The 13,410-nt window shown below is 37.6% G+C and overlaps 1 long non-coding RNA gene across 2 annotated transcripts in view, besides 2 other annotated features; it reads right to left on the bottom strand.

Annotated features, from left to right (window-relative positions):
- The window catches only part of LOC107987108 (uncharacterized), a 675,821-nt gene that overhangs the window by 408,742 nt on the left and 253,669 nt on the right, over nucleotides 1-13,410 (bottom strand). The window lies entirely within an intron of this gene.
- Nucleotides 8,080-8,712: an enhancer, noted in NCBI's record as "H3K27ac-H3K4me1 hESC enhancer chr9:108949629-108950261 (GRCh37/hg19 assembly coordinates)". NCBI's record gives its function as "activates a minimal SCP1, AML or CMV promoter by ChIP-STARR-seq in naive H9 embryonic stem cells {active_cell/tissue: H9 hESC(naive)}" and the evidence as "EXISTENCE:reporter gene assay evidence [ECO:0000049][PMID:30033119]".
- Nucleotides 8,713-9,345: an enhancer, noted in NCBI's record as "H3K27ac-H3K4me1 hESC enhancer chr9:108948996-108949628 (GRCh37/hg19 assembly coordinates)". NCBI's record gives its function as "activates a minimal SCP1, AML or CMV promoter by ChIP-STARR-seq in naive H9 embryonic stem cells {active_cell/tissue: H9 hESC(naive)}" and the evidence as "EXISTENCE:reporter gene assay evidence [ECO:0000049][PMID:30033119]".

Raw genomic sequence — 13,410 nt, 5'->3', positions numbered from 1 at the left:
TGCAACTGCACTCCAGGCTGGTGACAGAGAGAGATGACCCCTCAAATAATAATAATAATAATAATAACAACAACAACAACAACAACAACAGCAAAACATTGCTGAAGGAAATCATAGATGACACATAAAAATTGAGAAACATTCCATGCTTATTGATTTGAAAAATCAATATTGTTAAAATGACCATATGACCAAAGCAAACTACTGATTAAATGCTATGCCTATCAAACTACCATCATTTTTTGCAGAATTAGAAAAACAAATCTACTGTAAAATTTGTACAGAGAGATTCTGTTTGGAAAAACGTAAGGGAAAAGAGTCTCTTTCTGGTAATCCAGAGAATTCTTCAGAATCTTATCCAAGACCACTAAGACAGCACCTCGCAAATCTGCAAGAGCTATAGTGTTATTGGGCTTGGAGTGCCCCCTAATTCAGATACAGCTGCAGTAACTGAAAACTTAGATTACAACACCCAAATCCCTTTGAATACTTGGAAAGCCTTCACAAGAAGAATGGGTACGCACAAGCTCAGACTGTGAAGACTACAATAAATACCTGACTCTTTGATGTCCAGACATTGACAAACATCCACAAGCATCAAGATGATCAACAAAAACATGACCTCACCATACAAACTAAATAAGGCACCAGAGACCAATCCTAGAGAGACAGTGCTATGTGACCTAGCAGGCAGATAATTCAAAATAGCTGTTTTGAGAAAACTCAGTGCAATTCAAAATAACACAAAGGAGAAATTCAAAATCCAATAAGATAAAATTAACAAGGAGACTGAAATAATTAAAAGGAATCAGGTAGGAATTCTGGAGTTGAAAAATCCAAGTGACATATTGAAGAATGCATCAGAGTCTCTTAATAGCAGAATTGATCATGCAGAAGAAAGAATCAGTGAGCTTCAAGACAGGCTATTTGAAAATACAGAGTCAGAGGAAACCAAATCAAAGAGAATAAAAACATTTAAAAAGGATGCCTAAGACATGTAGGAAATAGCCTCAAAAGGGCAAATCTAAGTTACCGGACTTAAAGAGGATGTAGAGAGAAAGATAGGGCAAAAAGTTCATTCAAAGGGATAATAACAGAAAACATCCAAAACCTAGAGAAAGATACTAACATTCAAGTACCAGAAGTTTGTAGAACATCAGGGAGATTTAATCCAAAGAAGACTACCTCAAGGCATTTAATAATCAAACTCCTAATGGTTAAGGATAAAGCAAAAATAAGGAAAATATCCAAATGCAGCAAGAAAAAAGAAATGACATACAAAGGAGCTCTAATATGTCTGGTAGCAGACTTTTTAGTAGAAGATTTATAAGCAAGAAAAGAGTGGCATGACATATTTCAAGTGCTGAAGGAAGAAAACTTTTACCCTAGAATAGTATATCCACAAAAAAAATCCTTCAAACACAAGGAAAAGTAAAGACTTTATCAGACAAACAAAAGATGAGGGATTTCATCAACACCAGAGCGGTCCTACAAGCAATGCTAAAGGGAGTTCCTCAGTCTTAAAGAAAAGGAATGAATGAGCAATAAGAAATCATCTGAAGGTACAAAACTAACTGGTAATAGTAAGAGCATGGAAAAACACAGAATGTTATACAGTGCAATTGCAGTGTATAAATTACTCATATATTAAGTAGAAAGACTAAAAGATAAACTAATCAAACAGAATAATGACAACTTTTTAAGACAGAGTACAATAAGATATAAATAGAAACAACAAAAACCTATAAAGCAGGGAGACAAAGGTAAAGTATGGAGTTTTTACTAGTTTTCTCATTGCTTATTTGTTTATGCAATCAGCATTAAGTTGTCAGCAGTTTAAAATAATGGATTGTAAGATTACAAGCTTCCTGGTAACCTCAAATCAAAAAACATTCAACAGATCCATAAAAAAATAAGAAATTAAAACATACCACCAGAGAAAATCACCTTCACTAAAAGGAAGACAAGAAGGAAACAAAAAAGAGAAGACCAGAAAACAAATAACAAAATGGCAAGATTAAGTTCTTACTTATCAACAATAACACTGATTGTAAATGGACTAAACTCTCCAATCAAAAGACACAGAGTGGCTACATGAATGAAAAAACAAGACTCAATGATCTGTTGCCTATAAGAAACACACTTCACCTAAAAAGACATACAAAAATTGAAAATAAAATAATGGAAAAAGATATTCCATGCCAGTGGAAACCAGAAAATAGTAGAAGTAGCTAGACTTGTATCACACAAAATAGATTTCAAGACTAAAACTATAAATAGAGACCAAGAAGGTCATTGTATAATGATAAAGAGGTCAATTCAGCAAGAGGATATAACATTCATAAATATATATGTGCCCAACAACGGAGCATCCAGATATATAAAGCAAATATTATTAGAGCTACAGAGAGATAGATCCCAATAGAATAATAACTTGAGACTTCAACACCGCACTTTCTACATCAGACAGATCATCCAGATAGAAAATCACCAGAGAAACATCAGACTTAATCTGTACTATAGACCAAATAGATCTAATAGATATTTACAGAGCATTTCATTGAATGGCTGCAGAATATACTTTCTTCCCTTCAGCACATAGATCATTCCCAAAAATAGGCCCTATATCAGGCCACAAAACAAGTCTGAAAACATTCAAAAAACTGGAATCATGTCAAGTATCTTCTTTGACCACAAAGGAATAAAACTAGAAATCAATAATAACAAGAGGAATTTTGAAAACTATACACAGAGAAATTAAACAATATTCTCCTGAATGACTAGTGGATCAATGAATAAATTAAAAAGGAAATTGAAAAAATGTTTGAAACAAATGAAAATGGAAACACAACATACCAAAACCTGTGGGATGCAGTGAAAACAATATTAAGGGGAAATTTTATAGGTATAAGCACCTACATCAAAAGGGCAGAAAAACTTCAAAAAAAAAAATCTAACAATACATCTTAAACAAATATAAAAGCAACAGTAAACCACACCCAAAATTAGAAGAAAATAAATAATAAAGATCAGAGCAGAAATAAATGAAATTGAAACAAAGGAAACAATACAAAAGATTCTTAAAAATGAAAAATTTGTCTTTTGAAAAAATTAAACAAAATTGATACCTTTAGCCAGACTAAGAAAAAAAGAAAGAATACCCAAATAAATAAAATCAGAGATGAAAAAGCAAACATTAAAATCAATACAGCAGAAATGTAAAGGCTCATTAGAGGCTACTATGAACAAGTATATGCCAATACATTAAAAAATCTAGAAGAAATGAATAACTCCTAGACACATACAACCTACCAATATTGAATGATGAAAAAATCCAAATCCTGAACAGACCTATAACAAGTAACAAGACTGAAGCCATAATAAAAAGTCTTTAAGCAAAGAAAAGCCCAGGACCCAATGGCTTCACTGCAAAATTTTACCAAACATTTAAAGCATTAATACCAATCCTACTCAAACTATTCCAAAAAATAGAGAAGGAGGGAGTACTTCTAAACTCTTTATATGAGGCCAGTATTGCTCTGATGCCAAAATCTAAGAAAGACACATAAAGAAAACTTTAGGCCTGTAACTCTGATGAACATTGATCTAAAAATTCTCAACAAAATACTAGCAAACTAATTCAACAACACATGAAAACCATCATTCATCATGACCAACTGGGATTTTTCCCAAGGATGCATGGATGGTTCAGCACAGGCAAATCAATCAATATGATACATCATATCAACAGGTTGAAGGACAAAAAAACATATGATTATTTCAATTGATGCCCAAAAGGTATTGGATAAAATTCAACACCCCTTCATAATAAAAACCTTCAAAATACTGGGGATGAAAGGAACATATCTCAACATAATAAAAGCCATACATGACAGACCCATAACTAGTGTCATATTGAATGGGAAAATAACTGAAAGTCTTTCCTCTAAGATCTGGAACATGACAAAGATGCTCGTTTTCACCACTGTTATTCAATATAGTACTGAAAGTCCTAGCTAGAGCAATCATACAAGAGAAAGATATAAAGGGCATCCAAATTGGAAAGGAAGAAGTCAAATTATTCTTATTGGCAGATGATATGATCTTATATTTGGAAAAATCTAAAGACTCCACAAGAAAACTATTAGAACTGATAAAGTAGGCCGGGTGCAGTGGCTCATGCTTGTAATCCCAGCACTTTGGGAGACTGAGGCGGGAGGACCACGAGGTCAGGAGATCGACACCATCCTGGCTAACACAGTGAAACCCCATCTCTACTAAAAGTACAAAAAATTAGCTGGGCGTGGTGGCGGGAGGCTGTAGTCCCAGCTACTTGGGAGGCTGAGACAGGAGAATGTCGTGAACCCAGGAGGTGGAGCTTGTGGTGAGCCGAGATCGTGCCACTGCACTCCAGCCTGGGCAACAGTGCAAGACTCCGTCTCAAAAAAAAAAGGAAGAAAAAGAACTGATAAACTAATTCTGTAAAGTTTCAGGATACAAAATCAACATACAAAAAATACTAGCATTTCTAGATGCCCACAATGAAAAACCAGAAATTAATCGCATTTACCGTATCTACAAATATTATAAGACACCATGGAATTAGCTTAACAAAGAAGTGAAAGATCTCTACAATAAAAACTGTAAAGCATTGGCTGGGCGCGGTGGCTCACGCCTGTAATCCCAGCACTTTAGGAGGCCGAGGCAGGTGGATCATGAGGTCAGGAGATCGAGACCATCCTGGCTAACACGGTGAAACCCCGTCTCTACTAAAAATACAAAAAATTAGCCAGGTGTGGTGGCGGGTGCCTGTAGTTCCAGCTACTCAGGAGGCTGAGGCAGGAGAATGGCGTAAACCTGGGAGGCGGAGCTTGCATTGAGCCGAGATTGCACCACTGCACTCCAGCCTGGGTGACAGAGCGAGACCCCGTCTCAAAAAAAAAAAAAAAAAGCATTGATGAAAGACATGGGAGAGGACACCAAAAATGGAAAGGTATTTCATATACATGGATTGGAAGCATCGAAATTATTAAACATGTCCATACTACCCTACTACCCAAAGCGATATACGCATTCAATGCAATCATTATAAAAATACCAATGATATTCTTCACAGAAATAAGAAAAACTCCTAAAATTTATATGGCACCATAAAAGACCCAGAATACTCAAAGCTATCTGAAGTAAAAAGAACAAAACTGAAGGAATCACATTATCTGACTTCAAATTATACTACAGAGCTATAGAAACCAACGCAGCATGGTAGTAATGCAAAAATGTACATAGACCAAGAAAACAGAATAGAGAACCCAGAAACAAATCCATACATCTACAGTGAACTCATTTTCAACAAAGGTGCCAAGAACATATATTGGAGAAAGAACAATCTCCTTAATAAATGATGCCAAGAAAACTGGATATCCATATGTAGAAGAACGATAGACTTCTGTCTCTCACTATGTACAAAAATCAAATAAAAATGGATTACAAACTTAAATCTGAGACCTCAAATTATAAAATCACTAAAAGAAAACATTGGGAAAACTCCCCAGGACATTGGAATGGGTAAAAGTTTCTTGAGTAATACCCCACAAGCATAGGCAAACAAAGCAAAAATGGAGAAAGGGACCACTTCAAGTTATAAAGCCTTCTGCATGGAAAAGGAAACAATCAACAAAGTGAAAAGACAACCCAAAGAATTGGAGAAAATACTTGCAAACTATCTAGCTGACAAGGGACTAATAACCAGAATATATAGTGTCAAAACAACCCTATGAGAAAAATCTAATAATCAGATTTAAATATGGTCAAAAGATCTGAATAGACATTTCTCAAAAGACATACAAATGGCAAACAGATATACGAAAAGGTGCTCAGCATCACTGATCACCAGAGAAATGCAAATCAATACTACAAGGAGATATCATTTCATCCCGGTTAAAATGGCTTTTGTCTAAAAGACAGGCAATAACAAATACTGGCAAGAATATGGAGAAAAGGGAACCCTCATACACTGTTGGTGAGAATGCAAATTAGTAACAGCACTATGGAGAACAGTTTGAAGATTCCTCAGAAAAACTAAAAATTGAGCTACCATATGATTCAGCAATTCCACTGTCAGGTATATAGCCAAAAGAAAGAAAATCAGTATAACAAAGAGATATCTGCACTCCCATGTTTATTGCAGCACTGTTCACAACAGCCAAGATTTGGAAGCAACTAAGTGTCAACAGACTAACGGATAAAGAAAATGTGGCACATATACATATTGGAGACTATTCAGCCATAAAAAAAGAATGAGATCCTGTCACTTGTAACAACTTGGATAGAACTGGAGTTCATTATGTTAAGTGAAATAAGCAAGGCCCAGAGAGATAAACTTCACATATTCTATTTGTGGGAGCTAAAAATTAAAACAACTAAACTTATGAAGATATGGAGTAGAATGATGGTTACCAGAGATGGGAAGGGCAGTGGGGTGGTAGGGGGAAGTGGGGATGCTTAATGGGCACAAAAAAGAGAAGAATGAATAAGATCTAGCATTTGATAGCACAATGGGTGACTATAGTCAACAATAATTTAATTGTACATTTAAAAAATAAAAGTATAATTGGATTGTTTATAACACAAAGGATAAATGTTTGAGGTGATGGTGATGGATACCCTATTTACCCTGATGTGATTGTTACGCATTGCATGCCTGTGTCAAAATAGCTCATGTACCCCATAAATATGTACACCTACCCTGTACTCACAAAAATTAAAAATTAAAACTTTTCAAAATATAAAATAATATTCATACAGAACTAAAAAAGAGTTCAAGTAGCCAGACGATTCTAAGCAAAAAGAAGAAAGCTGAAGGCATCACATTACCTGACTTCAAACTACACTACAAAGCTACAGTAACCAAAACAGCATGGTATTGGTACAAAAACAGACACATAGATGATTGAAACAGAATAGAAAATCCATAAATAAAGCCACACACCTGCAACCAACTGATCTTCAACAAAGTTAACAAAAACAAGCAATGGGGAAAGGACTCCATATTCAATAAATGGTTCTCGGATAACTGGCTACCCATATGCAGAAGAATGAAATTGGATAAATACTTATCACTATATGCAAATATAATCTCAAAATGGATTAAAGACTTAAATATATGACCTAAAACTGTAAAAAAAACTTAGGAAATATCCTTCTGGATACTGACTTTGGCATCTGACAAAGGACTAATATCTAGACTCTATAAGGAACTTAAATAAGTAAACAAAAAACAACCCCATTAAAAAGTGAGCAAAGGATGTAAACAGACACACCTTTCAAAAGAAGACATAGACATACGAGTGGCCAACAAATGAATGAAAAAATGCTCAACATCACAGAAATGCAAATGAAAACTACAATGAAATTGCATCTCATACCAGTCAGAATGACTATTATTAAAGAGTCAAAAAATAACAGATGTTAGTGAGGCTGCAGAGAAAAGGGAATGCTTATACACTGTTGATGAACATGTAAATTAGTTCAGCCACTATAGAAAGCAGTTTGGAGATTTCTCAAATAACTAAAATTAGAACTGTCGTTCAACCCAGCAATCGCATTACTGAGTATATGTCCAAAGGAAAATAAGTTGTTCTACCACAAAGACACAGGTGCTAATATGTTTATCACAGCACTATTCACAATAGCAAAAATATGGAATCAACCTAGGTGCCCATCAATAGTAGACTGTAAAAGGAAAATATGGTACATATACACCATGGAATACGATGCAGCCATAAAAAAGAACAAAATCATGTCCTTTGCCACAGCATGGATGCAGCTGGAGGCCATTATCCTAATCAAAGTAACGCAGGAACAGAAAACCAAATACCACATGTTTTCACTTATAAGTGGTAGCTAAAAATTAGGTACACGTAAAGATGGGGAAAATAGACACTGGGGACTACATGACAGGGGAAGTAGGGCAAAGGTTGAAAAACTACCTACTGGGGACTATGCTAACTACCTGGGTAAGAGTTTCAACTGTACCTCAAATCTCAGCACTGCACAATACCTGTAACAAACAACTACCCCCTGAATCTAAAATAAAAGTTGAAATTTTTAAAATAAAATTTCTAGAGAGAGCACAATAGGGGAAAGAAAAACTATTGATAAACTACACTTCACTGAAAATAAAATTATCTGCTCTTCAGAAGACTGATTTTTTTTAAAAAAAGCCACAGACTGTGAGAAAATATCTACATTTATCTGACAAAGGATCTGTATCTAAAATACATTTTAAATGCATATAAATCAGCAGCAAAAGATAAATAATCCCAATTTTTTTAAATGCAGAAGACAAACAGACACTTTATAAAAACAGAAATATAGGAATGTCCAATAAGCACATTAAAAGGTATTCAAGGTTGTTCCGGAGGAGCCAAGATGGCAGAATAGGAACAGCTCCTGTCTACAGCTCCCAGCCTGAGCGACGCAGAAGACGGGTGATTTCTGCATTTCCATCTGAGGTACCGGGTTCATCTCACTTGGGAGTGCCAGACAATGGGCGCAGGTCAGTGGGTGCGCGAACCGTGCGTGAGCCGAAGCAGGGCGAGGCATTGCCTCACTTGGGAAGCACAAGGGGTCAGGGAGTTCCCTTTCGGAGTCAAAGAAAGGGGTGACGGACGGCACCTGGAAAATCGGGTCACTCCCACCCAAACACTGCGCTTTTCCAACCGGCTTAAAAAACGGCGCACCACAAGATTATATCCCGCACCTGGCTCAGAGGGTCCTATGCCCATGGAGTCTCACTGATTGCTAGCACAGCAGTCTGAGATCAAACTGCAAGGCGGCAGCGAGGCTGGGGGAGGGGCGCCCGCCATTGCCCAGGCTTGCTTAGGTAAACAAAGCAGCCAGGAAGCTCCAACTGGGTGGAGCCCACCACAACTCAAGGAGGCCTGCCTGCCTGCCTCTGTAGGCTCCACCTCTGGGGGCAGGGCACAGACAAACAAAAAGACAGCAGTAACCTCTGCAGACTTCAATGTCCCTGTCTGACAGCTTTGAAGGGAGCAGTGGTTCTCCCAGCACACAGCTGGAGATCTGAGAACCGGCAGACTGCCTCCTCAAGTGGGTCCCTGACCCCCAAGCAGCCTAACTGGGAGGCACCCCCCAGCAGGGGCACACTGACACCTCACACAGCAGTGTACTCCAACAGACCTGCAGCTGAGGGTCCTGTATGTTAGAAGGAAAACTAACAAGCAGAAAGGACATCCACGCCAAAAACCCATCTGTACATCACCATCATCAAAGACCAAAAGTAGATAAAACCACAAAGATGGGGAAAAAACAGAACAGAAAAACTGGAAACTCTAAAAAGCAGAGCGCTTCTCCTCCAAAGGAACACAGTTCCTCAACAGCAACAGAACAAAGCTGGATGGAGAATGACTTTGACGAGCTGAGAGAAGAAGGCTTCAGACGATCAAATTACTCTGAGCTACGGGAGGACATTCAACCAAAGGCAAAGAAGTTGAAAACTTTGAAAAAAATTTAGAAGAATGTATAACTAGAATAACCAATACAGAGAAGTGCTTAAAGGAGCTGATGGAGCTGAAAACCAAGGCATGAGAACTACGTAAAGAATGCAGAAGCCTCAGGAGCCGATGTGATCAACTGGAAGAAAGGGTATCAGCAATGGAAGATGAAATGAATGAAATGAAGCGAGAAGAGAAGTTTAGAGGAAAAAAGAATAAAAAGAAATGAGCAAAGCCTCCAAGAAATATGGGACTATGTGAAAAGACAAAATCTACGTCTGATTGGTGTACCTGAAAGTGATGGGGAGAATGGAACCAAGTTGGAAAACACTCTGCAGGATATTATCCAGGAGAACTTCCCCAATCTAGCAAGGCAGGCCAACGTTCAGATTCAGGAAATACAGAGAGCGCCACAAAGATACTCCTCAAGAAGAGCAACTCCAAGACACATAATTGTCAGATTCACCAAAGTTGAAATGAAGGAAAAAATGTTAAGGGCAGCCAGAGAGAAAGGTTGGGTTACCCTCAAAGGGAAGCCCATCAGACTAACAGCAGATCTCTCGGCAGAAACCCTACAAGCCAGAAGAGAGTGGGGGCCAATATTCAACATTCTTAAAGAAAAGAATTTTCAACCCAGAATTTCATATTCAGCCAAACTAAACTTCATAAGTGAAGGAGAAATAAAATCCTTTACAGACAAGCAAATGCTGAGAGATTTTGTCACCACCAGGCCTGCCCTAAAAGAGCTCCTGAAGGAAGCACTAAACATGGAAAGGAACAATCGGTACCAGCCGCTGCAAAATCATGCCAAAATGTAAACACCATCGATGCTAGGAAAAAACTGCATCAACTAACAAGCAAAATAACCAGCTAACATCATAATGACAGGAGCAAATTCACACATAACAATATTAACTTTAAACGTAAATGGACTAAATGCTCCAATTAAAAGACACAGACTGGCAAATTGGATCAAGAGTCAAGACCCATCAGTGTGCTGTATTCAGGAGACCCATCTCATGTGCAGAGACACACATAGGCTCAAAATAAAAGGATGGAGGAAGATCTACCAAGCAAATGGAAAACAAAAAAAGGCAGGGGTTGCAATCCTAGTCTCTGATAAAACAGACTTTAAACCAACAAAGATCAAAAGAGACAAAGAAGGCCATTACATAATGGTAAAGGGATCAATTCAACAAGGAGAGCTAACGATCCTAAATATATATGCACCCAATACAGGAGCACCCAGATTCATAAAGCAAGTCCTGAGTGACCTACAAAGAGACTTAGACTCCCACACATTGATAATGGGAGACTTTAACACCCCACTGTCAACATTAGACAGATCAATGAGACAGAAAGTCAACAAGGATACCCAGGAAATGAACTCAGCTCTGCACCAAGCAGACCTAATAGACATCTACAGAACTCTCCACCCCAAATCAACAGAATATACATTTTTTTCAGCACCACACCACACCTATTCCAAAATTGACCACATACTTGGAAGTAAAGCTCTCCTCAGCAAATGTAAAAGAACACAGATTATAACAAACTATCTCTCAGACCACAGTGCAATCAAACTAGAACTCAGGATTAAGAATCTCACTCAAAACCGCTCAACTACATGGAAACTGAACAACCTGCTCCTGAATGACTACTGGGTACATAACGAAATGAAGGCAGAAATAAAGATGTTCTTTGAAACCAACGAGAACAAAGACACAACATACCAGAATCTCTGGGACACATTCAAAGCAGTGTGTAGAGGGAAATTTATAGCACTAAATGCCCACAAGAGAAAGCAGGAAAGATCCAAAATTGACACCCTAACATCACAATTAAAAGAACTAGAAAAGCAAGAGCAAACACATTCAAAAGCTAGCAGAAGGCAAGAAATAACTAAAATCAGAGCAGAACTGAAGGAAATAGAGACACAAAAAACCCTTCAAAAAATTAATGAATCCAGGAGCTGGTTTTTTGAAAGGATCAACAAAATTGATAGACCACTAGCAAGACTAATAAAGAAAAAAAGAGAGAAGAATCAAATAGACGCAATAAAAAATGATAAAGGGGATATCACCACTGATCCCACAGAAATACAAACTACCATCAGAGAATACTACAAACACCTCTACGCAAATAAACTAGAAAATCTAGAAGAAATGGATAAATTCCTCGACACATACACTCTCCCAAGACTAAACCAGGAAGAAGTTGAATCTCTGAATAGACCAATAACAGGAGCTGAAATTGTGGCAATGATCAATAGTTTACCAACCAAAAAGAGTCCAGGACCAGATGGATTCACAGCTGAATTCTACCAGAGGTATAAGGAGGAGCTGGTACCATTCCTTCTGAAACTATTCCAATCAATAGAAAAAGAGGGAATCCTCCCTAACTCATTTTATGAGGCCAGCATCATCCTGATACCAAAGCCGGGCAGAGACACAACCAAAAAAGTGAATTTTAGACCAATATCCTTGATGAACATTGATGTAAAAATCCTCAATAAAATACTGGCAAAACGAATCCAGCAGCACATCAAAAAGCTTATCCACCATGATCAAGTGGGCTTCATCCCTGGGATGCAAGGCTGGTTCAATATACGCAAATCAATAAATGTAATCCAGCATATAAACAGAGCCAAAGACAAAAACCACATGATTATCTCAATAGATGCAGAAAAAGCCTTTGACAAAATTCAACCACCCTTCATGCTAAAAACTCTCAATAAATTAGGTATTGATGGGATGTATTTCAAAATAATAAGAGCTATCTATGACAAACCCACAGCCAATATCATACTGAATGGGCAAAAACTGGGAGCATTCCCTTTGAAAACTGGCACAAGACAGGGATGCCCTCTCTCACCACTCCTATTCAACATAGTGTTGGAAGTTCTGGCCAGGGCAATTAGGCAGGAGAAGGAAATAAAGGGTATTCAATTAGGAAAAGAGGAAGTCAAATTGTCCCTGTTTGCAGATGACATGATTGTATATCTAGAAAACCCCATTGTCTCAGCCCAAAATCTCCTTAAGCTGAAAAGCAACTTCAGCAAAGTTTCAGGATACAAAATCAATGTGCAAAAATCACAAGCATTCTTATACACCAACAACAGACAAACAGAGAGCCAAATCATGAGTGAAATCCCATTCACAATTGCTTCAAAGAGAATAAAATACCTAGGAATCCAACTTACAAGGGATGTGAAGGACCTCTTCAAGGAGAACTACAAACCACTGCTCAAGGAAATAAAAGAGGATATAAACAAATGGAAGAACATTCCATGCTCATGGGTAGGAAGAATCAATATCGTGAAAATGGCCATACTGCCCAAGGTGATTTATAGATTCAATGCCATCCCCATTAAGCTACCAATGACTTGCTTCACAGAATTGGAAAAAACTACTTTAAAATTCATATGGAACCAAAAAAGAGCCCACATCGCCAAGTCAATCCTAAGCCAAAAGAACAAAGCTGGAGGCATCACATTACCTGACTTCAAACTATACTACAAGGCTACAGTAACCAAAACAGCATGGTACTGGTACCAAAACAGAGATATAGATCAATGGAACAGAACAGAGCCCTCAGAAATAACGCCACATATCTACAACTATCTGATCTTTGACAAACCTGAGAAAAACAAGCAATGGGGAAAGGATTCCCTATTTAATAAATGGTGCTGGGAAAACTGGCTAGCCGTATGGAGAAAGCTGAAACTGGATCCCTTCCTTACACCTTATACAAAAATTAATTCAAGATGGATTAAAGACTTAAACCTTAGACCTAAAACCATAAAAACCCTAGAAGAAAACCTAGGCATTACCATTCAGGACATAGGCATGGGCAAGGACTTCATGTCTAAAACACCAAAAGCAATGGCAACAAA

This window comes from Homo sapiens, chromosome 9 (assembly GCF_000001405.40).
Source record: "Homo sapiens chromosome 9, GRCh38.p14 Primary Assembly".
In the NCBI taxonomy this organism is placed as follows: domain Eukaryota; kingdom Metazoa; phylum Chordata; class Mammalia; order Primates; family Hominidae; genus Homo; species Homo sapiens.
Note: the sequence above shows the minus strand (reverse complement) of the source record. Positions and strands in the feature narration are given on the sequence as shown.